Consider the following 27,483-nt stretch of genomic DNA (forward strand, 5'->3'; position numbering starts at 1 on the left):
CTGGAGTCTCTGTTCTATTGGTCTATATGTCCGTCTTCATGCTGGTACTATGCTGTTTTATTTACTGTAGCTTTGTAATATATTTTGAAATCAGAAGGTGGGATGCCTTCAGCTTTGTTCTTTTTTCTCAAAATAAAAAATTCTTTTGAATTCAGGGTCCTTTGTTTATTTTATATTTGTAAAAAATGACAGTGGAATTTTGTTAGGGATTTTGCTGAATCTTTAGGTCACTTTAGGTAGTTATAGACATTTAAACAATGTTAAGACTTCAAATTTATGAACGTAGGATGTGTTTTTATTTGTATCTTCTTTAATTTCTTTAATATTTTATGTTTCAAGGTTTATGTGTTTCACCTTAAATTTATTTCTATGTATTTGATTCTTTTTGATGCTGTTGTAAATATGCATTTTCTTAACTTTGTTTTTAAATACTTTATTATTAGGATACAGAACACAAATAATTTTTGTTTTTTATATATTGAATCATCATTGTATCCCAGGGATAAATCCCACTTGATCATGGTGAATGGTGCTTTTAATGTGTTGTTGAATTGGTTTTCTCATATTTCATTGAAGATTTTTACATCTGTGTTCATCAGGGATATTAGCCTGTAGTTTGCTTTCCTTCTAGTGTCATTGTCTGTCTTTGATTGGTATCAGAGTAATGCTGTCTTCATAAAATAAATTTGGAAGTGTTCTCTCCACTTCAAGCTTTTATAGTGGTTTAAGAATAATTAATGGTAGTTTCTTTTGAGATAATTTATGAAATTTACCATTGAAGCCATCTAGTTCTGAGATTTTCTTTGTTGGTTTTTGATGACTTATTCAATCTCCTTACTGATAAATTATAGGTCTGTTCAGATTTTCTATTTCTTCATGATTCTGTCTTAGTAGGTAATATGTTTCTAAAAATGTATATTCATTTCCTCTAGGTTACCTTGTTACCAGATTAAAAATCGGCCATTATAAGTATAAAATATTTTATGTAAGCCCCATGGCAGCAACAAAGAAAATACTTATAGAACATACACAAAATATCAGAAAGGAATCAAAGTATTTTAATGCAAAAAATTAACAGAAACACAAAGGAAGACAGCAAGAGAGGGAAAGAGGGACAAAATAACTACAAGACAGACAAAGCAATGAACAAATTGGCAATAGTAAGTCCTTCTCTATCATTCATTGCTTTAAATATAAATGGATTAAACTCATCAAATACATAAAGTGGCTGAATGGATTAAAAAAGACATTTTATAATAATAATAATATCAATTCACCAGGAAGATATAACAATTATATGTATAGATGACCCCAACATCATTGCATCTAAATATGTAAAGCAAACATTGATTGGTAGAACTGAAGGGAGATATAGAAAGCAGTACAATAACAGTAGGAGACTTCAATATCTCACTTTCAAGATATGCAAGATTATATTTGTGGATATGCAAGAGTGTATTTGTGGAATTATGTTTGTGGAAATATGTGGAATTTAAACATATTTCAATTTTCTATGAAATATGTTTTCATATTCCCATATTCATATTCATATTTTCATATTCATACTCCTTATTGATGTCATTGGAATTGAATAATACTATAGGAGTCATTGGAATTGAATAATACTATAGACTAAATGGGCTTAGTAGTCATATATCAAACATTCCACTTGACAGCAGCAGAATACATATTTTTCTAGGTGCTCATGGAACATTCTATGGAATAGATCACATATTAGGTCACAAAACAAGTCCTTAAAAGTTTAAGAAGACTGAAGTCAGACCATGTATTTTTTTCTGACTACAATAGAATGAAACTGGAAATCAATAGTGGAAGAAAAAGAAGAAAATTGAAATATGTTTAAATTCCACATATTTCCACAAATATAATTTCACATATATACTCTTGCATATCCAATGAGTCAAAGAAAAAATTAAAAGAGAAATTAGATCATATCTTGAGACAAATGAAAACATAAACACAACATATCAAAACTTATTGGATGCAGCAAAAGTAGTACTAAGAGGGACGTTTATAGCAATAAACACCTACATTTATAAATAAGATCTCAACCAAACTTTATACCTCAAGAAACTATAAAAAGAAAAATAATCTAAGCCCAAAATTAGCAGAAGGAGGAAATAATAAAGATCAGAGCAGAAATAAATAAAATAGAGAATAGAAAAACATTAAACTATAAGCTGTTTTTTAAAAATATAAGTCAGTTGACAAACCTTTAACAGAATGAAGAAAAAAGAGAAATTTCAAATAAAATCAGAATTGAAAGAGCAGACATTACAACTGATGTCACAGAAATATAAAGGATCATAAAAAACTACTATGAACAATTGTTTTATGTTTTAATCTTAACTAATTTGTTTCAGTTTCCTTAGGTTTATTTTGCAGTTTTTTTTAGTGTAAGTATTTTAGGGTGTATACATTTTTTTTCTGGCCTTTCAAAGGTGTAGATCAGATACTGGACAGTGTTAACTCAAATAAAATATTTTCTCCTTTCCCTTCAAGTAAATAGTCAGCTAGCTAACATCATTTGTAAATGCAGCAATGGTTTTCTTCCAAGACAAATGTTAAAATGAAGATATGTTATTTAGGTGGTACACCCATTACACCAGTAGCCACAAGTAGCCCAAATAAATGCATTCCTTTATTATATTAGCTTTAGAGATAAATATCTTGAAGAAACAGATTACTTGGCAATTGCATTGTGACAGAGGTGCAGTAAAAAGCAGTGGTAAAATCTAGGCTCTGTTGTCAGGTTATCTGGTACTAATTTTGGCTCTCACATTTATTTTTCTGTGCAACTCTGGGCGAGTTAATTGACTTCACTAAGTCTCAGTTTTCTCATTTGTAAAATGTTTTTAGTATTGAATGAAGTAAGTCATTAAAGCACTTTGCACAGTATCTGGCACAAAGTAAATATTTAATTAATCTATTATTACAATATCCCAAGGAAACGAAAATTTCCAGACAATCTGGAGAGGACTCGCCAGCATTCAGAAATAGCTGGGAGACACTTGGGGAGAATGTGCCATGGGTAAAGACATTCTCTGACCCTTCTTCTCCTGGCTCAGTGATAGGTTAGGCTTCTTTCTTATATGTAGTCCTGATACTCCCATTTGTTCTCTTAATATTCCTCACATTTTAAACTAATTAATCCTCTCTCTTCTTGGCTACATTTTAAATTCTATGAGGCCAAAGGTCATATGTATCATACTGACCTCTCTATCCCTGGCATCTATAATAGTATGGATAATCAATAAATATTTCTGAAATATTCAATGAATGAATGGGTGAATAAACCTTGAATGCTTCAACCACTTCACATTTTTAATTAAACTATTTATTTTGAGGTAATTATCGATTCACATACAGTTGTAAGAAATTATAGAGAAATTCCCTTATACCTTTTACTCAGAGTCCTCAATGATATTATCTTACAAAACTGTAGCACAATATCACAACTGAGATACTTGGCCTTGAAATCTTGAAGTGCAGTGTCGGCTAGGTATATTAGAATCAAAATGTCTCTTTTACCTCTAGCAAATTCTGAGCAGCGTTTTTCAGGTTTGCACACCTGGAGCTACAAGGCCAGGACCCAGGTCTGTATGCTGAACTGGCTGACCACCATGCTCTTTGCATGCCCAGGGTCGAATATTGAGAGGTAGCATTGATTTCTTCTAATACATTTGAAGGCTTTCAAAGGACTTAATAGGAAAGATCTTTTTAATGTGACTGATATTTTAAAATATGTGTTCTCTTTTTTTTTCAGGGCTTCCCGTAGTAGTCAGATATATTGGCCTGAAGTGAAAGAAAGGGATTTAGTTTCAATGTTCTGCATATGGCAGATCAGTTATCTCAGCACCATTTATTGACTCCCAGCACAATAGGGAGTATTTTCCCCATTGTTTGCTATTGTCAACTTTGTCAAAGATCAGGTGGTTGTAGGTATTTGGCTTTATTTCTGGGTTCTCTATTCTGTTCCATTGGTACATGTGTCTCTTTTTGTATTAGTACCATGCTGTTTTTGTCATTTTGGTTATTGTAGCTTCATAGTACAGTTTAAAGTTGGGTAGTGTGATGCCTTTAGGTTTGTTCTTCTTGCTTAGATTGCTTTGGCTATTTGGGCTCTTTTTTGATTTCATATGAATTTTAGAATAGATTTTTCTAGTTCTGTGAAAAAATAATATTGGAAGTTTGATAGGAATAGCATTGTATCTGTCAGTTGCTTTGGGCAGTATGGCCATTTAAACAATATTGATTCTTCCTATCTATGAGCATGGAATGTTTTTCTATTTTTTTGTGTGTCATCTGATTTCTTTGAGCAGTGTTTTGCAATTCTCATTGTAGAGATCTTTCACCTCCTTGGTAAGCTGTAGTCCTAGGTATTTTATCCTTTGTGGCTGTTTTTTGTAGGATTGTGTACTTGATTTGGCTCTGACCTTGGATGTTATTGGAATATAGAAATGTAATAATTTTTGTACATTGATTTATATCTTGAAACTTTACTGAAGTCATTTATGAGTTCTAGAAGCCTTCTGGCAGAGTCTTCAGGATTTTCTAGGTAAAGAAGCCTATTGTTCATGAAGAAAGATAGTTTGACTTCCTCTTTTCCTATCTGGATGCTTTTTTCTTTCCTTCTCTTGCCAGGTTGCTCAGGCTAGGCCTTCCAGTATTACATTGAATAACAGTGGTGAGATTAGGCATTTTTTTTTGTTCCAGTTCTCAGGGGGACTGCTTCCAGCTTTTGCCTGTTCAGTATGATGTTAGCTGCAGGTTTGTCATATATGCCTCTTATTATTTTGAGGTATGTTCTTTCAATGCTTAATTTGTTGAGTGTTTTTAACATGAAGAGATGTTGAATTTTATCAGAGGCCTCTCCTGCATCCATTGAGATGATCATGTGATTATTAATAAAATTTTGTTTATGTAGTGAAACTCATTTATTTATTTGTTTACATTAAACTAATTATTTATTTGTGTTAAACCAATCTTGCATTGGAATAAAGCATACTTGATCATGATGAATTAACTTTTTGATGTCTGTTGAATTTAGTTTGCTAGTATTTTGTTGAGGATTTTTGTGTCTGTGTTCATCAGGGATATTGCCCTGAAGTTTTCTTTTTTTTGTTTTGTCTCTGCCAGTCTTTGGTATCAGAATGATTCTGGCTTCATAGAATGAGTTAGGGAGAAGTCCTCCTCCTCTTTTCTTTTTTTTCTTTTTTCTTTTTTTTTTTAAGAATAACTTCAGTAGGATTGGTACTAGCTCTTTTACATCTTGTAGAATTTGACTGTGAATCCATCTGATACAGGCCCTTTATTGGTTGGTAGGGTTTTTATTACAGATTCACATTTGAAACTTGCTATTATTTTGTGCAGGACTTTAATTTCTTCCTGGTTCAATTTTGGGAAGCCATGTGTTTCCAAAAATATGTCCATTTCTTCTGGGTTTTCTAGTTTGTGTGCATAGAGGCATTCATAATAGTCTCTAAAGACTTTTTGTATTTCTTTGGGGTCAGTTGTAATGTCACCTTCATTGTTCCTGTTTGGGTTTATTTGGGTTTTCCCTTTTTTTCTTTATTAATCTAGCTAGCAGTCTATCAGTCTTGTTTAATCATTTGAAGAACCAACTTTAGGTTCTGTTGATCTTTTATGAGGATTTTCATGTATCAATTTCATTCAGTTCAGCTCTGATTTTGATTCTTTCTTTTCTTCTGCTAGCTTTGGGGTTGGTTTGCTTTTGTTTTTCTAATTCCACTAGGTGCGCCATTAGGTTGTTAATTTGAGATCTTTCTAACTTCTTGATATAGGTGTTTGGTGCTATAAACTTTTCTCTTAAGACTGCTTTAGCTGTGTCCAAAAGATTCTGGTATGTTGTGTCTGTTTTCATTAGTTTCAAAGAATTTTTTTTTTGTTTTTGCCTTAATTTAATTATTTACTCAAAAGTCATTCAGGAGCATGTTGTTTAACTTCCATGTTATTGTACAGTTTTGATAGATCTTGGTATTGATTTCCTTTTTTCTGCATTGTGGTCTGAGAGTATTGTTGGTTTGATTTTAATTTTTAAAAATCTGTTGGGACTCGCTTTGTGGCTGAGCATGTGGTACAACTTAAAGCACATGCTGCGTAGAAGGTAAGAATGAATATTCTGTTGTCTTTTGATGGGGTATTCTGTAGATGTCTATTAGTCCAATTGGTCAAGTGTTGAGTTCAGGTCCAGAATATCTTTGTTAATTTTCTGCCTCAATGGCCTGTTTAACACTGTTAGTGTGGTGTTGAAGTCCGCCATTATTATTGTGCAATTGTCTAAGTCTCTTCATAGGTCTCTAAGAACTTGTTTTTTGAATCTGGGGGCTCCAATGTTGGATGCCTATACATTTAGGATAGTTAAGTCTTCTTGGTGGATTCAGCCCTTTATTATTGTGTAATGTTCTTCTTTGTACTTTTTGATCATTGTTGGATTAAAGTTTGCTTTATCTCATATAAGAATAGCAACCCCTTCTCTTTTCTGTTTTCTGTTTGCCTGATAGGATCTTTCTCGATTCCTTTACTTTGAAGCTGTAGGTGTCTCTTGAAGATAGCAGACAGTTGAGTCTTGTTTCTTTTCCAACTTGACACTATATGCCTTTTAAATGCGGGATTTTGACCACACATCTACAACCGTATGATCTTTGACAAACATGACAAAAACAAGCAATGGAGAATAGATTGCCTATTCAATAAATGGTGCTAGGGAAACTGGCTAGCCATATGCATAAAACTGAAACTGAACCCCTTCCTTACACCATACACAAAAATTAACTCAAGATGGATTAAAGATTTAAATGTAAAACCCAAAACTATAAAAACCCATTGCCCATTCAGGACATAGGCATGGGCAAAGATTGCATGACAAAACATCAAAAGCAATTGGAACAAAAGCAAAAATTGACTAAGGAGATCTAATTAAACTAAAGACCTCTGCACAGCAAAATAAACTATTATAAGAGTGAACAGACAACCTACAGAATAGGAGAAAATTTTTGCAATCTATCCATCTGACAAAGGTCTAATATCCAAGGATCTTAAACAAATTTACAAGAAATGAACAAACAACCCCATTAAAAAGTGGGCAAAGGACATGAACAGGTATTTTTCAAAAGAAGTCATTTATGTGGCCAAAAAACATATAAAAAAAGCTCAACATCACTGATCATTAGAGAAATGCAAATCAAAACCACAATGAGATACCATCTCACACCAGTTAGAAAGCGACTATTAAAAAGTAAAAAAAAAAATAATAAACCAGATGCTGGCAAAGTTGCAGAGAAATAGAAACACTTTTACACTGTTGGTGGGAATGTAAATTAGTTCAACCATTGTGGAAGACAGTGTGGTGATTCCTCAAAGACCTAGAACCAGAAATACCATATAACCCAGCAATCCTATTACTGGGTATATACACAAAGGAGTATAAATCATTTTATTATAAAGGTACGTGCACGCATATGTTTATTACAGCACCATTCACACTAATAAAGACATAGAATCAACCCAAATGCCTATCAATGATAGACTGGATAAGGAAAATGTGATACATATAAACCATGGAATACTATGCAGCCATAAAACGGAAGGAGATTGTGTCCTTTGCAGTGACATCGATGAAGCTGGAAGCCATTATTTTCAGCAAACTAACACAGGAACAGAAAACTAAACACCACCTGTTCTCACTTATAAGTGGGAGAGGAACAATGAGAACACATGGACACAGGGAGGGAACAACACACACTGGGGCCTCTGGTGAGGGGGAAGGGAGAGCATCAGGATAAATAGCTAACGCATGCGGGGCTTAATACCTAGGTGATAAGTTGACAGGTGCAGCAAATCACCATGACACACATTTACCTATGTAACAAACCTGCACATCCTGCACATGTATTCTGGAACTTAAAATTAAATTAAATTAAAAATTAAAAAATAGGCCAGGCGTGGTGGCTCATGCCTGTAATCCCAGCACGTTGGGAGGCTGAGGCGGGCAGATCACGAGGTTAGGAGATCGAGACCATCCTGGCGAACATGGTGAAACCCCGTCTCTACTAAATATATATATATATATAAAAAATTAGCCGGGCGCGGTGGCAGGCGCCTGTAGTCCCAGCTACTCAGGAGGCTGAGGCAGGAGAATGGTGTGAACCCGGGAGGTGGAGCTTGCAGTGAGCTGAGATCATGCCACAGTACTCCAGCCTGGGATACAGAGCGAGACTCCGTCCTCCCCCCCCCAAAAAAAAGAAAAAGAAAAAAGAAAAAAAAATAAATAAATGGGGCATTCTTCTTGTTTACCTTCAGGGTCAATATTAATATGTGATGATTTTATCCTGTCATTATGCTGTTACCTGGTTTTCATGTAGACTTTGTTGTATAATTGCTTCTTAGTGTCAATGGGGTGTGCGCTTAAGTGTGCTTTTTTCAGGGCAGATATCATTCTTTCATTTCCATGTTTAGCACTTCTTTTAGGACTTCTTGTAGGGCAGGTGTAGTGGTAACAAATTTCCTTAGCATTTGCTTGTTTGAAAAGGATCTTATTTCTTTTTCGCTTATGAAGCTTAGTTTGGCTGAATATAAAATTTATGGTTGGATTTTTTTTTTCTTTAAGAATGCAGAATGTAGGATCCAAATCTTGTCTGACATAAAGGGTTTCTGCTGAAAGTTCTACGATTAGCCTGTTGGAAGTATTACTATTCCCTTTGTAAGTGAACAGCCCCTGTTCTCTATCTGCCTTAATTTGTTTTTAATATTTCAATAGGTTTTTGGGGAACAGGTACTGTTTGGTTACATGAATAAGTTCTTTAGTGGTGACTTCTGAGGTTTTGGTGCGCTCATCACTGAGCAGTGAAATCTAGAAGAAAATCTAGGCAATACCATTCAGGACATAGGCATGGGCAAAGATTTTATGGGTATTCATTTTATAAATTTGGGAGCTCCATTGTTAGGTGCATATATATTTAGGATTGTAATATTTTTCTGTTGAACTAGTTATTTTATCATTATATAGTGTCTCTCTTCGCCTTTTTTAACTGCTGTTGCTTAAAAATGTATTTCATTTGATATAAGAATAGCTACTCCTGCTCCCTTTTGGTGTCTATTTGCAGGGAATATCTTTTTCTACCCCTTTAAGTTTATGTAAGTCCTTATGTATCAGGTAAGTCTCTTCAAGACAGCAGACACTTGATTGGTGAATTCTTATCCATTCTGTCATTCTGTATTTTTTAGGTGGAGCTGCAGTATTGTAGGGAAGACACAAGCTTGCCCTAGTGTCAGGTGGTGGCTAGGGCCATAGAGGTCCCAAGAGATGATGTCCTTTGTCTTTGGCTACCAGGGCCAGTAGAGAAAGACCATCAGGTGGGAGCAGGGTTAGGTGTGTCTGAGGTCAGACTCTCCTTGGGCAGGACTTGCTGCAGCTGCTGTTGGGGATGGGGGTGGGATTCCCAGGCCAATAGAGTTATGTTCCCAGGTGGATTATGGCTGCTTCTGCTGTGTCACACAGGTAGCTAAAGAAGTGGGGAAAAGCCAGCAGCCACATGCCTCATCCAGCTCCCATGCAGCCCATAGCCCAAAAGACTGGTCTTACTCTCACCATGGCCCCACAACAGCACCAAGTTTACTTCCAGGCAGCCGGTGAGCAGGGCTAAGAGCTTGTGCCAGGGTACAAACCTCCCAGCTGAGAAAGAAAGCCGACTCACAGTTCCTCAGCTGTCCCACAGAACCTGCAGCAGCAACCCACCTTCTTCAAAAGGGTCTGCAGATTCTCTCAGCTTTCTTGGTATGTACTTGTGGTAGCTCTTGTAGCAAAAGTTCACGATGTGGGTCTCTACACGCTGCTCTGTCTGTCCGAGTGGGAGCTGTAAGTTAGTCCTGTCTCCTATCTGCCACTTTTCCCCTTTTTTCTCTAGCTGCTTTTAGATTTTTCCTTTCATGTTGACCTTGGAGATTCTGATGACTGTGTGTTATGGGGATGGTCATCTTGCACAGCATCTTGCAGGGGTTCTCTGAATTTCTTGAATTTGCAGGTCAATTTCTCTACTGAGATTGGGAAAAATTTTATGGGTGGACTGTATCCTTAATTATGTTTTCCAGGTTACTTGCTCTCTCTCCTCTTTCAGGAATGCCCATGAGTTGTAGGCTTGATGTCTTTACATAATACCATATTTCTTGGAGGTTTTGCTCATTTTTATAATTCTTTTTTCTTCATTTTTGTCTACCCATGGTGCTTTAAAGGCGCATTCTTCCAACTCTGAGATTTTTCCTCAGCTTGGTCTATTATGTTGCTATGGCTTCCAGTTATATTTTTAAATTTATGTAGCAAATTTTTCACTTCCAGAAATTTAGTGTTTTTTTCCTTAAAATGGTTATGTCATCTTTGAATGTTTGGATCATCTTACTGTTTTCCTTGGATTGGGTTTCAACCTTCTCTTGTATATCAATGAGTTTCCTCACCATCCAGATTCTGAATTCTATGTCTAAAATTTTAGTCATTTCAATCTGATTAAGAACAATTGCCAGGAAGCTAATGTGATTGTTTGGAGGTAAGAAGACACTCTGGCTTTTAGAGTTGCCTGAGTTCTTACACTGGTTCTTTCTCATCTGTGAGTGCTGATGTTCCTTTATCCTTTGAAGTTACTGTCCTTTGGGTGGAGCTTTTGATTTTATGCTCTTTCTTGTCCTTGAGGGATTGACTATGGTGCAAGTTGTTTATAGTTGAGTGACTTTGCTTCTGGATGCTTTCAGAGGGTCTAGGCTCAGTTCCATACTCCTGGGCTGCATTCTCTAACCCTGGGTCTATAGCTTTGTCCTCTGGTCCCTCGAGGTCAAGTCCTACCTGGGCTGGAGTGGCCAAGTTATTCCAGTACTGCTGGCAACAGCATTCTTGGGGGGATGGTGTGGGAGCCGTGAGCATAAATGCTCTGATGGTGGCAGGGTGGCACCACAGGTGGGAGGTGTTCCTGAGGTGGGTGCTGTGGATGGGAGGCATTCCAGAAGGGCCACTGCAGGTGCTCCAGTTGGGGCAGCAGGGGTGATGCTGGTGGGAGGCACTTGGGTGGAAGGCCACCTGGGGTGGAGGTTGTGGTGGGGTGAAGTGCACTGAAGGGGTGGCAGTGGCACTGTGGAAAAATGTGCTTTGAAGTGGTGTTGGTGGAGTTTCAGGCAAACATGTTTTAGTGGGAGGCTGTTAGCAAAAGTGCTCTGTTGAGGCAGTGAGGCCTGCGGCAGAATCACTGTGGTGGTGTCTGCTGGGAAAAGTGCTCCAGCAGGGTAGCTGAGGCTGTGCTGCATGCAGTCACGGCTAGGCAGTGACTCTGGGAGTAGCTGGCAGACAGCAGGTTCCACAGGTCACTCTCCATGGTCCTGCAACAAAGACAGCCCTGCTGTTTCCAGGTCTAGCAACTTACACAGGTCAGAGCCACCCCATTTTTAGGGAGCTTTTCAGGGCCTGGAATGTGTCCACGTACTTGGCAGCCCTGTGCAGGGTTCCCAGCTTTTGGATCATCTCTCTTCCACTTCATCTCATCTTCTCCTTCAGTTCCAGCATCTGGGTCATCTGTCTACCCTCTCTCAGTTTATTCTCTCAGATGGTCTACTTGGTGTATGCTGGTTTGCCTGATACTCTGGTCTGTCTCAGTGGGAGACAACTTGTCTTTTTTTGTTGTTGCTGTTGTTTTTAATTGGAGAATGTTGTTAGAAGCCAAGATCTGGGTATAAGGTGTGCTTGTTGCTATTGGAATGTCATTTACTTTAGGCCCTCTCAGTTGACAGAAGAAATATATGTCTGTAAATATCTATGTAGCTCTATCCATATGAAATTATATGCATTCATATATATTTATATGAAATTATATATATTCTTGGTAATGTCTGCAACACTAATTCATTACCACGTGAATTATTCTAGCTCCTCTGCTTGCTATATCTATAAATTCCTACTCCATCAGTGAGTAATCAGCCTCCTGCCTTTCATCCATTTAATTACTTATTCAGTTCCAGAATACAGGCATATTTTAGAAATATTGCAGTTTTTTTCCAGACCACTGCAGTAAAGTGAATATTGTAATAAAGTGAGTCACATGAATTTTTTTATTTTTCAGTGCATATCAAGGTTATGTTTACATTACACTACATTCTATTAAGTGTGCAATAGCATTATGTCCATAAAAACAATCTACATATCTTAATTAAAATCATTTATTGCTAAAAAATGCTAGTGGTCATCTGAGCCTTTGGTGAATTGTAATATTTTTGCTGATGGAGGATTTTGCCTCAATTTTGATAATTGTAGACTGATGACGGTAGTTGTTACTGAAGGCTGGAGTGGCTGTGGCAATTTCTTAAAGTAAGACTACAGTGGACTAGCACACAGCTTGTGGCTGCAATCCCAACTACTCTGGAGTCTGAGGCAGGATCTCTTAAGGGCAGGAGTTTGAGACCAATCTGGACAACATAGTGATACCCTGTCTCTCAAAAATAAATATAAAAAATTAGCTGCACATGGTGGCACACACCTGTAGTCCCAGCTACTCAGGACAGAATGAAATGCTGTTTCTTAAAAAGAAAAAAAGACTAAAATAACATTTGCCACATTGATTGACTCTTCCTTTTATAAAAATTTCTCTGTAGCATGTGATACTGTTTGATAGCACTTTAACTATAGTAGAACTTCTTTTAAAATTGTAGCCAATTCTCTGACACCCTGCTGCTGCTGCTTTATCAACTAAGTTTGTGAAATAGTCTAAATTATTTGTTGTCATTTCAGCAGTGTTTGCCAGGCATCTTTACTAGGAGTAGATTCCATCTCAAGAAAACACTTTTTTTGCTCATCCATAAGAAGCAACTCGTCTTCCATTAAAGTTTTATCATGAGATCTCAGCAATGCAATCATATCTTCTGGCTCTACTTTTAATTCTAGTTCTCTTGTTATTTCTACCACGTACACAGTTCCTTCCTCCACTGAAGTTGTGAACCCCTCAAAGCCATCTGTGAGAGCTGGAATCACCTTCTTCCAAACTCCTGTTAATGCTGATATTTTGACCTTCTTCCATAAATCACAAATGTCCTTAATATCATCTAAAAATGGCGAATCCTTTCCAGAAGGTTTTCAATTTACTTTTCCCAGATCCACTAAAATAGTCACTATCTTTTGGCAGCTAAAGCCTTCCAAAATTTATTTCTTAAATAATAAGATTTTAAAGTCAACATTATTCCTTGACCAATGGGGTGAAGAATGAGTGTTGTGTTAGCAGACATGAAAACAACATTCATCTTCTTGTACATCTCCATTAGCACTCTTGAGTGACCAGGTGCAGTGTTACGTGCAGTAATATTTTAAAAGAAATCTTTTTTTTTCCTGAGGAGTAGGTCTCAACAATAGGCTTAAAATATTTAGTAAACCATGCTGTAAACAGATGTACTCTAATCCAGACTTTGTTGTTTCATTTATAGACAACAGGTAAAGTAGATTTAGCATAATTCTTAAGGGCTCAGGATTTTTGGAATGGTAAATGAGCACTGGTTTCAACTTAAAGTTACCAGCTGCATTAGCCCCTAACAAGGGAGTTGTCCTGTACCTTGAAGCTTTGAAGGCAGGTGTTGATTTCTCCTCTCTAGCTATAAAAGTCCTAGATGGCATCTTCTTTCAATAGAAGGCTGTTTTGTCTACATTAAAAATCTGTTTTCTAATGCAGCCACCTTCACCAATTATCTTAGCTAGACTTTCTGGATAACTTGCTGCAAGCTCTATATCAGCACTTGCTGCTTAACCTTGAACTTTTCTACTGCGGAGATGATGTATTTTCTTGAACTTCGTAAAGCAACCTCTGCTAGCTTCAAACTTTTCTTCTGCAACTTCCTCACCTCTCTCAGCCTTCATAGAATTGAAGAGATTTAGGGCCTTGCTTTGAATTAGTCTTTTACTTAAGGAAAAGTTGTACCTGGTTGAATCTTCTAGACAGAGCACTTAAACTTTCTCCATATCAACAACAGAGCTGTTTTGCTTTCTTATCATTTCTGTGTTCACTGGAATAGCACTTTTAATTTTCTTCAAGAACTTTTCCTTTGCATTCCCAACGTAGCTAACTATTGGCACAAGAGGCCTAGCTTTCAGCCTATCTCAGGTTTCAACATACCTTCCTCACTAAGCTTAGTAATTTCTAGCTTTTGATTTAAAGTGAGAAGTGTGGGACTCTTCCTTTTACTTGAACAATTAAAGATCATTGTAGGGTTATTAATTAGCCAAATTTAAATAATGTTGTGTCTCAGGGAATAGAAATGCCAAGGCAAGAGAGAAAAAGATTAGATAATGGCTGGTCAGTAAGCAGTCAGAACACAAACATTTATAAATTGTTTGCCATCTTACATGGGTGCAGTTCATGGCCTCTCAAAACAATTTTGATAGTAACATCAAAGATCACTGATCACAGATAACTAAAAAAATGAAAAAGTTTGAAATATTGCAAGGATTACCAAAATGTGACACAGACACAAAGTGTGCATATGCTGTTGGAAAAATGGTGCTGATAGACTTGCTTGATGCGGGATTACCAAAAACGTTCAGTTTGTAAAAACTGTAATATCTGTGAAGCACGATAAAGTGAAGTGCAATAAAATGGGGCATGTCCATACTTGTGTAGCAGTATCAGCATCATTAATTCTTACACCTGTGAGAAACAATTTTATCAACCAAAGTACATTGCTTGTGTGCAATTTCTGTTGCATTCCGCCTTATAAATACTCTTTTCCAGAGTTACTTAGGTCAGTACTTCTTCTCCCACCTTCTTGAATGAGGTTGTTTTATATACTTCTGTTACAGTTATACCCTCTTGTCACAGTCTTCATTCCTTCCCGAGGTTCCCTAATCTAAGTGATTGTTTTAAAAAACTTGGCTATATTAAGGTTCACCCTTTGTGCTGTCGAGTTTTATGGATTTTGACAAATGCATAGTTCACGTGTTTATTCATCATTACAGTATCATACAGAATAGTTTCACTGCCCTAATATAGCTCCTGCATTTTATCTCTTTAACGCCCCTCCCCCGACAAATTCTTGGAAACTGCTGTTTATAGTTTTACCTTTTCCACAATGTTGTATAATTGGAATCACATAGCTTTTTCAGACCAATTTCTTTCAGTTAAAAATATGCATTTAAAATGTATCTGTATATTTTTGTGACTTGATAGCTCATTTGTTTTTAATCACTAAATAATATTATATTGTAAGGATATACCACAGTTTGTTTATTCATTCACCTATTGACAGATATCTTGGTTGTTTCCAGCTTTTGGGAATTAAGTTTAAAGCTATAATTCCTGTGCAGGTTTTTATGTGGGCATAAATTTTCAAATTAAATAGGTAAATATCTAGGAGTGATTGCTGGATAATATAATAAGTGGCACGATCATGGCTCACTGCAGCCTCGACCTCCCAGGCTCAAGCAATTTTCCCACCTTAGCCTCCTAAGTAGCTGGGACTGCATGCATGTGCCACCACACCTGGCTGATTTTTGTAGAGACAGGATTTTGTCATGTTGCCCAGGCTGGTATCGAACTCCTGAGCTCAGGCACCCCACCTGTCTTAGCCTCCCAAAGTGCTGGTATTACAGGGATGAGCCACTGTGCTAGGCCCCTACTTTGTGTTGTTAAAAGTACAATGTTTTTAAACAATTTTCCCAAATTACTCTTGTGACAGAATAAATTATAGAATTATTGTTTAATGGTTAACTGCACAGGCTCTGGAAGTGGAAGGCTTGGGTTCAAGTCTAGATTCTATAATTTACTAAGTACATGATTTTTAAGCCTGTCAGGTAATCTCTCTATACTTCAGTTTCCTCCCTTATAAACTGTGAATTATAGTATCTCTTAGTTACTGTGAGGATTAAATTAGATAATGTGTTTGGCACAGAGTAAGAAGTTAATTGTTGTCTTTTTTTTCTTTCAATACTCTAGATTCATTTGAAAGGAACTCTCTATTCTTTCTCTTTCCTCTGTCACCTACGATAGCAACCAGGTCTTTACTTCTAAAGTCCAGCTTCTTAGCAAGGGTAGGGAAACTGTGATGGCAGAAAGGGCTTAATACTTCTTTATGTCCCAGTGCCATTAAATGAATTAAAAGTGGATTATCCAAGAAAGGAATCTACCCAAGAGGTTGATGAGAGGGTGGCTTAAACCTAGAGGATGTTATTCTGTGTGGCAGGCTTATTACTTACTGACCTATACAAGGTTTCTGTGTAAATTAGAAAAAGGTTCACTCTGGGCAGATGCAGCCCAGGACAAAGGCACAACCTTAGCCAGTAGAGCATAGCTAGATTCCAGTCCTCCACTGGCCACTTATGCTAGGTTCTATTGTTCAGTGTCCACACTACACAACTATAAATGTCATCTCTGCCTGGTAGATGGAAGGGAGGATTGTGGGTTCCATATGGGACAAGCACATGGATCAAGTCCATTGGAACACAGCATCTCAGAAATGCTAGAACATCTATCCCATGGAATTATTGTGGGAAAACAGGAAATGATGTCTCTAAGTACTGGGCTTTGAGAAAAAAAAAAATGATGCCACCAGCAAAGCCATCTGCCATGGCTGACATAAGGATCATGTTGTCCTAGCAAGAAAGCTAAGCAAGTGAGAACACTGCAGACAGAATAAAAAATTGGGTGGATGGTGAAAAACCAGTCTGAACAAGGCACAGAGTCACCATATGAAGAAAAGGTAAAGTTGAGACTGAGAGTCTTCTCTTGTGATACACCTAAGTTTTTAAGACTCTCTCATATGATGTTAGAAAAATGAAAGGTGCCCCCAAAGAATGCTGATTGGAATTCCTGTAAACTTTAGATGAGGAAAATGTATGATGGAAAACGAAGATAAATAGGAAGTTTCTTTCACCCAAGTATTACACCTTAGTATAAGGAAAATATGGACATACATATTTTAAGCAGTCTGTATGAATCCAATGTGCAGTATTTGCCTGCACAGACAAGTTGAGTTCCCCTAAAACTCTATTTCGGCTTTCTCCAAAGTATTGTCATTTCTAAGTTACTGGAATCCTTCCTTAAGCTTCTTGCTCAGTGGGAAGTGTAATGCAAATATTTTCAGATGAGTCACCTCCCTTTATAAATGGTTCCTTAATATTTTGACTCTCTAGTTGGGAGCCTGTCAAAGCAAGGGTGTCTCATAGATTGTCAGGGGATAGAGGGGATAGACATAGGATATCTTACTTTTCTATAAAATGGTCAGACACCCAACTCTAGCTGAAAGTGTCAGGAATTTTATTATTCCCATAATCTATTTTTAATTCTATTATATAAATATATTTTAAATGGAGAAAGTTTTATTTCATTTTAAGCAAAGATACTTTTTCCCCAATATTAAAGAAATGTCATTTTGGGGCATTTGTTTCTTATTGCGTTGCCAAGCCAAACATCTATTGTTACATTCATAGCTTACTGCTTTTTTTTTTTTTTTTTTTTTTGACAGTGGGAGTGCAAGAATCCAACTTGTTATTGGTGCCACAAAGATTTTTGCATAAATCTTTAAATATACTCCTAGGGAAGACACATGGCTAGACCATCCAGGAGCCCCAGTAGCCCATAGGCAGCTCTGCAGCAGAAGCACATACGCTCATGAAAGCCTGTGCAACAGTGTAGGTCTCTTGTATTTCAGTCTACACATACTATTTAATGACACATGAGCATAGTAAATTCATCAATAAATCAGTTTGGTTGCTGTAAATTCTCTCATCACTATGAAAAATCTTGTTTTTGTAAGAAGATTTTGACATTAGCTTTGATTTCTGACCACAACACACAGATTCAGTCTTGTGAATGAAAATGCTACCTCAGACACCCCAGCCTTTATATCTGCATGATGCTCTGAATGTACCTTGTTATTTATGTACCATCCAATGCAGCATATGGTATGTGTAGAAATGTTCACATGTGCTGTACTTGAAATGTAAGGAGTTAATATTCACTGACTAGATACTCACTCCCAAATAGTACTGTTTGGGGGAATTACAGAGAAAACCCTTTATACACAATTTCAAAACTTCGTCATTCAGCATTAACCAAATTATAGTAGAAATTGATTATATTTGTTTGAAAACCCATCTGTTCTTACCAGATAACACTGTATTTTACTGGATGTGGTTAGAAACAGACTGAGGAGAATGTTTGAAAGTTCACTTACTATCTTTAATCTGCTTGCCACTTTGTTTTTATTCACACATGTGAAACTGAGTTACCCATGCGAAACAGGTCTTTTCTCCCAATACAAATAATTCATGCAAATAGATGCCTGTGAACCTCTAGAATAAGTGAAAAATCAGCTAGGCTAAGAAGATGCAAAAGAGTGTATATCCAGCTAAAATAATGTTTATGAAAGCACAGAGGTAAGAGAGAAAAACACACATATTTAAGAAGCACAAATTCTACATTTCTTCAAAGGCCCAGTTACAAATATTTTATAAAGGAAATCAGGAGTCAATTCAATACTAATTCAGGTAAAGAGTCCTGAATTTTCAGTTCTAATACCACCTATGACTCATTTAGGCAGTAATTATTAAATGAATATATACTATATGTTTCAGACACTATGCCAAATTCTAGCAATCCCACAGTGAACCAGGCACAGTCTCTCCTCTCAGGAAATCACAATCTAATTAAGGAAGTAGGGATATAGAAATAATCCTACAAAACTCTCTAGGCCTCACCATCTGTTAGATGTAGATAAATTTATATTAACCTTAATGTCTGAATTTGTTGCCTCAGACCTTCTTAAGTTATGAACATCAGTTTTCCTTCTAAGTTTCCTGAGTTACTCAGGAATTCCCAAGGATACCTCATACGTGTTCATAGAATCCTTCAATTTTCTTTTTTGGGCTCCCACAAAGGCACTTCTGACTGCTAGTGGTACCTCTGCATGTATGTTGCCCCTCCCACTCTTCAATGTCCTGTATTCCAAACCTTGCAAATTCCTCGGGGCACCACGTTGCCATTGGGTTGGTGTAACATGCTGTTTTCAGCAGAATGTGAAAATGCCCTGAGCCTTACCTCTAAGTTTTGCTTTGTCACCTGAACTACCAAGCCTCGCTACTTATGCCCCAGGTCTCACAAAGTTCTGTCCAATCCAGCCTTTGGGGTTAAAGCTGGAGAAGAGATGCACATTCTCTTCTCCATTTCCCTCTCTTATTTTTTGGCTCTGATAAAACATTTCTTCTCACAGGTCTCTGTCCCTCAATACAAGTAATTAACCCAAATAGATGTCTGCAAACCTCTGCTAACTTTTTAGCAGACACAGGAACTTCTCAATTTTATTGTAATTACTACAGACTATGGTAAAAGTAACGGCAAAGTTTACTTACTAGGGTCTGGGGGGCATACATGGAAAAAGCACTTAATTCAAGCTCAGGGAAGTGAGCATGGGGAGCTGGAAGGATTCCTGAAAGACAATACAACAAAACTGAGAACCTAAGAAAAAGTGGCAATTAGCTAGGCTACATGGACCCTTAAGAGTGTATATGTACTTAAAACAGTCTTTATGACAGCTCAGAGGTAAGAAAAAAGAACACATTTATTCATGGAGTTCACATTCTACCCTTCTTCAAAGGCCCAGCCCAAACATCTTTTATAAAGCCTTCTCTTCTCTTTTCCCATTAATCTATTTATACCCCTCTTTTGCATTTGTCACATTAACCTTCTATTATAATTATTTGTGAGCATATCCATCTCCCCTTACTAGAAGAGAAGCTCATTGTGGGTTCTGCCAAATTATTTTTCATATCCTGCACATTAATAACCACAATGGATTGCATAGAACAGGTGCTTAATTAAAAGCAATATGCCTAAAGAGGCCGAAAGTGCTTGGAATAAGCAGACTCATGTTTCATAAACGAATAACAGAATGGCATCAATGATTCAAGCAAGTAGATGTGATAGTAACCTCACTGATTCTAGATAAAAAGGAAAGGCTGGACAAGATCTTTCTTACCTGTTGGAATAATTTCTTAACTTTGTTGGTATCACCAGAGCACTTGTGAAATAGTGATCAAGAGAATAATTATTCAGTTCCTTGTATTCCACTTTTAAATTTACTAATATTTATTAAGAACCAATTGTGCTAGATGCTTTTTTATTTAAAATATTAATGAACTAAATGATTCATACAAAATACTATTACATACATTTGACACTTAAAGGCTGATAAAACAATTATGTGCCTGCCAAATAGCTGAAGAAATAGACAACTAAATATTACAATGAAACATTTCTTATCCTAACAAAATGGCAAACCAGTATAGGCAGCTGGATTCCTCCCTCAGCTCTGGGGAAGTTTTAGAACTCAAAATAAAATTACAGACAAAATTAACATAATAGACAAGAGGAGTACGTAGGAATATGCCAGAATGCTGTAGTACTTGTTTCATTAGGCAAAGCAATTTAAATGGGTCTTAAGTCTATTACAAGAGCAAATGGAGAAAATATTATATAAACAGAATAAGAACACTAAATTTATGCAATAGAAAGCATAAATGAAGAAAAGAAATGCAAGGAAAGTATAAAAAATGAAAAAATATTTTTAAAATGATAGCAGTATTAGGTCCTAAAATAATAGAAGCTGCAATAAATATAAATGGGTTAATCTAGTCAATTAAAGTCAGAGACTCTAAGATTTTAATTAAAATATCTAACATATTCTTTGCAAGAGAAAATATGAGGATATAAAAAGAAGAAAGCACATATTAACAACAACCTTGAAGTCCACACTGTGATGCCATTAGTTACATCTCCTTCCTCCAGAGGTAATAATTACTCCAAAGTTTGTGTCTATTATTTCAGAATTAGTTTACTATTACTGTGTAACAAATTATCACAAGCTTAGTGGCTTAAAACAACATACACATACTATCTCACAGTTTATGTGTGTCAGGTATTTGGTCATGGCTTAGCTGAGTCCTCTGTTCACAGTTTGACAAGGCTGCAATTAAGATTAAGATTGGCTGAGCTGTGTTCTCATCAAAGGCATAACCAGGGAAAGATCTAATTCCACATACCGTAGGTTGTTAGCAGAATTCCTCTTCATGTGGTTATAGGATTTAGATTTATGTTTTCTTACTGGTCATTGGTTTGGGGACACTTCCAACTCTTGAGAGTCCTTTGCCACATAGGTTTTGCCGTAGACTTACAGCATCACAATGTGTCAACTTACTTCAGGGTCAGTATTTACTGAGAATGTTTCACTTCTGTCTGTGAAAATAGAAGAATGACATTCCACCGCCTTTGCAATAATCTATTGGTTAGAAGCCCATACTGCAAGGGAGGGGACTATACAATGGTGTGACTCCTTGAGGGTCATCCTAGGATATGTCCACAATTTACATTGATTTACTTTTTCACTGTATATGTATATCCTAAAGTAGATATTGTTTAGTTTATATATGATTTTCAGTTTTATGTAAGTGGAATCATCCTGTATATATTATTCTTCAATTTCTTTTCCACTCATAGTTATTTTTGCTTTATATTCATATGTTCCACTGTAGTTGTAATTTTCATGACCATATAGCAGTCTATTTTAAGACTGTCACAAAATTGATTTTTCATTGTATTATTTCAGTTTTTGCTATTATAACCAATATTTCTATGGGCATTGTTGTTCATGTTCTCACTGTAAATGTGTAGGAATTTCTCAAGATTATAATCCTTTCTTTACACAGTAGCCAGAGGAAGTAGTCTTTTTACAACATAAATTAAAACCCTCCAGTGACATTTTGCTATACTTCGAATAAAATCCAAACTCCTTAAACTATAGTTTACAAAGCTTTACTTGCTCTGGCCTCTGACCATATCTGTTACCTTATCTTAAACTGATATTACCCTTTCCCACTACAGTCCACAATGGCCTTTTTTCTTTTTCTCAATATTCAGTTTTTTTATTCATTCCTGCCCTAAAGTCTTTTTACCCTGTTACTAGAATACTCTTCCTTGGGCTCTGAATGTAGACTCCATTTGATGTTGCATGACTAAGCTGACATATCTCCAGAGTGGCTTTCTGTAGCTACCAAATTCAAAGTAGACTTCTACTCACTGTCAGTCCCATAACTCTATTTTAACTATTTTCACAGAATCTATCCTTTTGATATATTTTTTAATTTATTATCTTCCTGTCAATGTGTTTAACTCTCTATTTTAAATGTAACTTCCCTGAGAACAAGTATCTTTTCCTACTACTTATCTGTATATGTATAATATCTAGCAAAGTGTCTGGTACATAAGTAAAATAATAACTACACTATCAGATTTGGCAGAAGCAAAGATATAAGGTAAAATGGAGTATGAAACAACTTTTCTATAGACAGCAGGTGGGCTTAAGTGACATGCCTTCCATTGTCTTATTAACACTTGTTAAGAAATATTGCCAGAAACAAAAAATAAAGAGTTTTCTGACAGTTTGAATTCTGAACTAGGAGGAAATGACATAACAACACTGGGTGAGTGAGTTTGGGGAAGGGTTAGGAAGTGCTGTTTTTCCAGGCCAATCATTTGGCATTTAGTTGTTGACAGCCTTCTTGGCTCACTAATTAGAACTGTAAAATTTCAGGTGAGTGACAGTAGCTTAAACACTAATTCTGCTTTTTGCAGCTGCAATCATTGGGAAGCTAATGGTATAATTGATGGATGCTGCCAGTTGCTGAAAAGAAGTGGAAATTAATACTTAAATTACCATTGTTAGAGGTCATAATCACATTTTCAGTTGCATCCAAAAGCAGTGCCTCAAACAATAAAACTGTAATATAATTTTTGGGAGCAAACATGCCATTAGTACCTTGAATGTTGCTTATTATAAATACAGGTATAAATGTGTACATCAAATTTTACATTTCAATCTGTAATGGATTCAAGTTCTGCCCCATCCCCCAACTAACAGCCCTTAAAGAATAACAAAGAAAACTAAGATTTATCTAAACAGATAAATCCTCTGTAATAAAATATTTTTTCCACAAAAGGCTTCAGTTTCATCTTGGACCTCTTATAATTGTTGAACACATCTGCTTAGTTTTAAAATAATATATGCTTCACCATGGATTAAAGGAATTAAAACTTTTGGAAACCCATTTATGATGGAGCATAACCAGCTAATTGATTTTATAGTGGTAAAATGGACTTGAGCTCTTGAAATGGGATGCTATTGTGGTGATCAAGGATTTCTGAAATGATAGAACATCACAGTATTTATTTTTAAAACAATGTTTATGTCATATTCATCCTGTTCTAGTGAAGGCAATTGAGACTATAGAAGTAGTGGCATTATTTTTTTTCTTCTGGTTTCCTTCATACACTTCTGTCCATTTCTTTTTGGTTTTCTTCATAGGCATGAAGAAAAAGTCATGGGCTTGCCTTTATTTTTCCTTAATGTGATAATTCCAGATCCTGGCTGCACCTCATAAGTTCTGATTTAAGTGGTCTGAGGGTATCCTTGGCATAAGTATCTTTTCATTTGATTCTAATGTGCAGCCGGTGTTGAGAATCAGTATTTTACACTGTCTCCTTGGGTAGTTCATTCACTCTCATAATTTGAACGACTATCTTGATGACTCCCAAATGTGTATCATCAGCTCTAATTTTACCTGAGCTTTATGTTTGAAGGTGCAGATGCATGCTTGTCATCTCTCCTTGGATGACCTCAACATGCCAGTACTGAACTCATCAACCACCAAGTGTCCTCCACCTGTTTTTTGTTCTATGTTTACTTTCTAGAATCTTGGAAATATTCTTTTGTTTCCTTTGTCTCTCCAACTATTCAACAGTCTTGGCAATTTATCTTCTAAATGTTTCTCAAGTCTTTTCCTTTACGCTTACCTGAACTACCTTTGTTTAGTTACAATGTTACCGAATTGGCTTTTGTGACAATTTCAACATATTTTCCTTGTTCAGATCCTCTTCCCCACTAATAAAACCCACCCTATCTATCTGGGATGATCAATTTAAAACACCTGTTTAGCCACATCACTCACAGTCAAAATTCTTCAATGGCTTTTTATCATTTACTGGATCAGGCCCAAGCTTCTTAGCAAAGTTAGTTAAGGTAATTTCACCACTGGTTTATGTCTCTTTTCTCATTACTTGATTCTACATGATTCGTACTTTAGGATAGAGGATAAGGAACTACTTACGGTTGTCCCTAAACATGAAGTTCTCCTAATTCTTCATGCTTTTGTTCATATTATTTCGTCTAAAATTACCTTTACTTTTTCATAAAACATTTAACTTCTAATCATCCCTTACTACTTTATATCACCTCCTACTAAAAGGCTTCTCTGACTTGCCAGACTTGAATAAATGTCCCTCTGTCCTCTCCTAGCACTTTTGGAATTCCCTTGTAGTAGAATTAGCCTTGTTAAAGTGAAATAATTTACTTACTTATCTGCCTCTCCACTAAAATGTAAGCAGGAGCTGTGTCTTACCATCTTCATATCCTCAGTGCCTACCTCGAGCTCTGTCAGAAACTTAGTAGGCTTTAATTGCACACTTTTTGAATGAGATGATTGCTGACAGCACCACGAAATCAACGTGTATCCTTTAGACACTACCACTCAATGAAGGTGTTTTCCCTACTGTGAAATGGGTTGAGGAATTACTGTCTTTTTTTTTTTTTTTTGAGATGGAGTCTCGCTCTGTCGCCCAGGCTGGAGTGCAGTGGCGCGATCTCGGCTCACTGCAACCTCCGCCTCCCGGGTTCACGCCATTCTCCTGCCTCAGCCTCCTGAGTAGCTGGGACTACAGGCGCCCACCACCACGCCCGGCTAATTTTTGAGACGGGGTTTCACCGTGTTGGCCAGGATGGTCTCGATCTCCTGACATGGTGATCCACACGCCTCGGATTCCCAAAGTGCTGGGATTACAGGCGTGAGCCACCGCGCCGGGCCCATAATTTTTTATGATCATTTCTCTTGAGACATTTCAGAAGGCATCAGGCAGCATTAACAAGAAACATCAGCTTGTTTTCACAGGTGCACGTTTTTATTTGATACTGCCTTTAAAACATTCCTAGTGATTTTATGTGTGAAGCTTTCCTTATCTAATGCCTAATTGCATTCTATGCTCTTTGCACAGTGAATTCTTGATTATCCATGGTCATGGTAGAAAGGGAGAGCGTGGATAATCTAAAAATCTCATTTGCATCAACTGCCTCTCTCACCAAATCTTTTGCCAGAGATAGTAATGAGTGTATCAAAGCTAGTGGAAGTACAAATGAGCTGTGAAATGGCAAAAACACGTGTTGCCAAATGAAAAGCTCTGAATAATACACATCTGGATAGTCAGTTACAGAATAACAGAATTAACTATATTTTAAAACTAGGAACTTAGTGTTTATGATTGATGACAAAGAAGACTGACGTCTCCTGCTCTGTTATCAGGACTCATTTTACCCATGGACAAAGTAAATGATTGTATACATGCTATTGTTTCAGGTGTGCTGGGTAGGTCTGGCTATCCTTAAACCCTATGAACATATACTTTTTATTCTGATCACATCGACTTTTAGGAAACATATTTCATTCTCAGGTTTGGAGGACAGTTACAAGGCAGGTGAGTCAATGTAAGCATTATTTCTGTAGTCATTTACCAAATGGCTATCTCATCTTAGTGGAGTTGATAAGGTCAGTTGGAACCTCCAGAGTGCCCTGGATGTACCTGGAGTTTTTAATACCCATATAGTTTAAAAACTACAGTAAAACCCACATATGTATATTTGTAGTAAGACCTACATATGTATATTTGTAGTAAAACCCACATCTGTATATTTGTAGTAAAACCCACATATGTATATTTGAAACCCATATGCTGAAATTGGTGGAGATGTCAAAAACCTTATAGCTTTACAGGGCATACTCTATATATTAGATATTAGAGTTATAGAACCAATGGGATGTGATGTGTGTGTGTGTGTGTATATATATATATTCATATAGGGATATATATATTTATATATGTGTGTGTATATACAAAGTGACTTATTTTAAGTAATTGGCTCACACCATTATAGAGGCTGGCAAGTCTAAAATCTGCAGGATGGACCAGCAGGCTGGAGACCCAGGAAGAGGGTCTTCATGCTGTGTCTACAGGCACAATTAATTCTCCTTGCTCAGGGAGGTCAGCCTTTTGTTCAGTTAAGGCCTTCAGTAGATTGGATGCAGCCCATTCTAATTATGAAGGGCAATCTTCTTTACTCAGAGTTCACCAATTTAAATGTTAATTTCATCCCAAAACACCCTCACACAAACAACCAGAATAATGTTTGACCACATATCTGGGCACTGTGGACCAGACAGCTTGACGTAAAATTCACTATCGTACATCTGTTAGATGATAAAAGAAGCCCAAGAAAGTTAAATAACTTGCCTGAGCTTCTGGTAATTGAGCTCAGACTTGTATCCAAATCTTCTTATTTCTTAATTGATGTCTTCTGCCACAGACTACTGATTTTTCACAACTGTGGTAATGAGAAGAAAAAGAATTTAGCTCAGAAATAAATGGCTCAGAATTAAATACAGATAGTGTTTCATTTTAAAAAGTCTATTGAACAGGACTCACGACATTTCAGAATGTCTAGTGCACATTATCCCTGACTAAATTGACAGTAGTAGATTCCTATTTTTTTAAATGACAGTTATATTGAAATATGTCACATACCATAAACATCACCATTTTATTGTTTTTTATTTTTTAGTTTTTATTTCCATAGGTTTTTGGGGAACAGTTGGCATTTCGTTATATGAGTAAGTTCTTTAGCGGTGATTTGTGAGATTTTGTTGCACCCATTACCCAAGCAGTATACACTGAACCCAATTTGTAGTCTTTTATCTCTCACCCCCTCCCACCTTTTCCCCTAAGTCCCCAAAGTCCATTGTATCATTCTGATGCCTTTGCATCCTCATAGCTTAGCTCCCACTTATGAGTGAGAACATATAATGTTTGGTTTTCCATTCTTGAATTACTGAACTTGGAATATTAGCCTCCAGTTCCATCCAGGTTGCTGCCAATGCAATTAATTTGTTCCTTTTTATGGCTGAGTGGCATTCCATCATATACATATGATGGAATATATATATACACACATATATATGTATGTATATATACATATATGTATATGCATGTATATATACACATGTACACATATGTATATGTATGTATATATACATATATACGTGTGTGTGTATATACACACATATATATACACATATGTATATATACCAAAGCCCTCACCAAAATTGGCATAAAAGGGACATACCTCGAGCTAATAAAAGCCAGCTATGACAAAACCATAGCCAACATAATACTGAATGGGGAAAAGTTAAAAGCATTCCCACTGAGAACTGGAACAAGACAAGGATGGCCACTCTCACCACTTGTATTTAACATAGTACTGGAAGTCCTAGCCAGAGCA

At 36.5% G+C, this 27,483-nt stretch overlaps 1 protein-coding gene and 2 long non-coding RNA genes across 3 annotated transcripts in view, besides 1 other annotated feature; 1 reads left to right on the forward strand and 2 right to left on the reverse strand.

The window, feature by feature from the left end:
* LINC01088 (long intergenic non-protein coding RNA 1088) overlaps positions 1 to 27,483 on the forward strand; it is a 337,052-nt gene that overhangs the window by 158,595 nt on the left and 150,974 nt on the right. The gene's annotated exons all lie outside the window — the stretch shown is intronic.
* On the reverse strand, positions 17,479 to 21,378 carry LOC124900723 (uncharacterized). The gene is made up of 2 exons (XR_007058154.1): positions 21,089 to 21,378; positions 17,479 to 19,476 (listed from the first exon to the last, which is right to left on the reverse strand). It is a non-coding gene; the product is annotated as an uncharacterized LOC124900723 (long non-coding RNA).
* Positions 17,959 to 18,159: a silencer, noted in NCBI's record as "peak5059 fragment used in MPRA reporter construct". NCBI's record gives its function as "represses an SCP1 promoter by STARR-seq MPRAs in K562 erythroleukemia cells {active_cell/tissue: K562}" and the evidence as "EXISTENCE:reporter gene assay evidence [ECO:0000049][PMID:32103011]".
* NAA11 (N-alpha-acetyltransferase 11, NatA catalytic subunit) overlaps positions 25,034 to 27,483 on the reverse strand; it is a 170,686-nt gene continuing 168,236 nt past the window's right edge. Inside the window, exon 2 of the mRNA XM_017008779.2 lies at positions 25,034 to 26,529. The gene's annotated coding sequence lies outside the window, so the exon portion shown is untranslated. The remainder of the gene's footprint in view (positions 26,530 to 27,483) is intronic.

The sequence above is a fragment of the Homo sapiens genome, chromosome 4 (assembly GCF_000001405.40).
Source record: "Homo sapiens chromosome 4, GRCh38.p14 Primary Assembly".
Taxonomy (NCBI): Eukaryota; Metazoa; Chordata; class Mammalia; order Primates; family Hominidae; genus Homo; species Homo sapiens.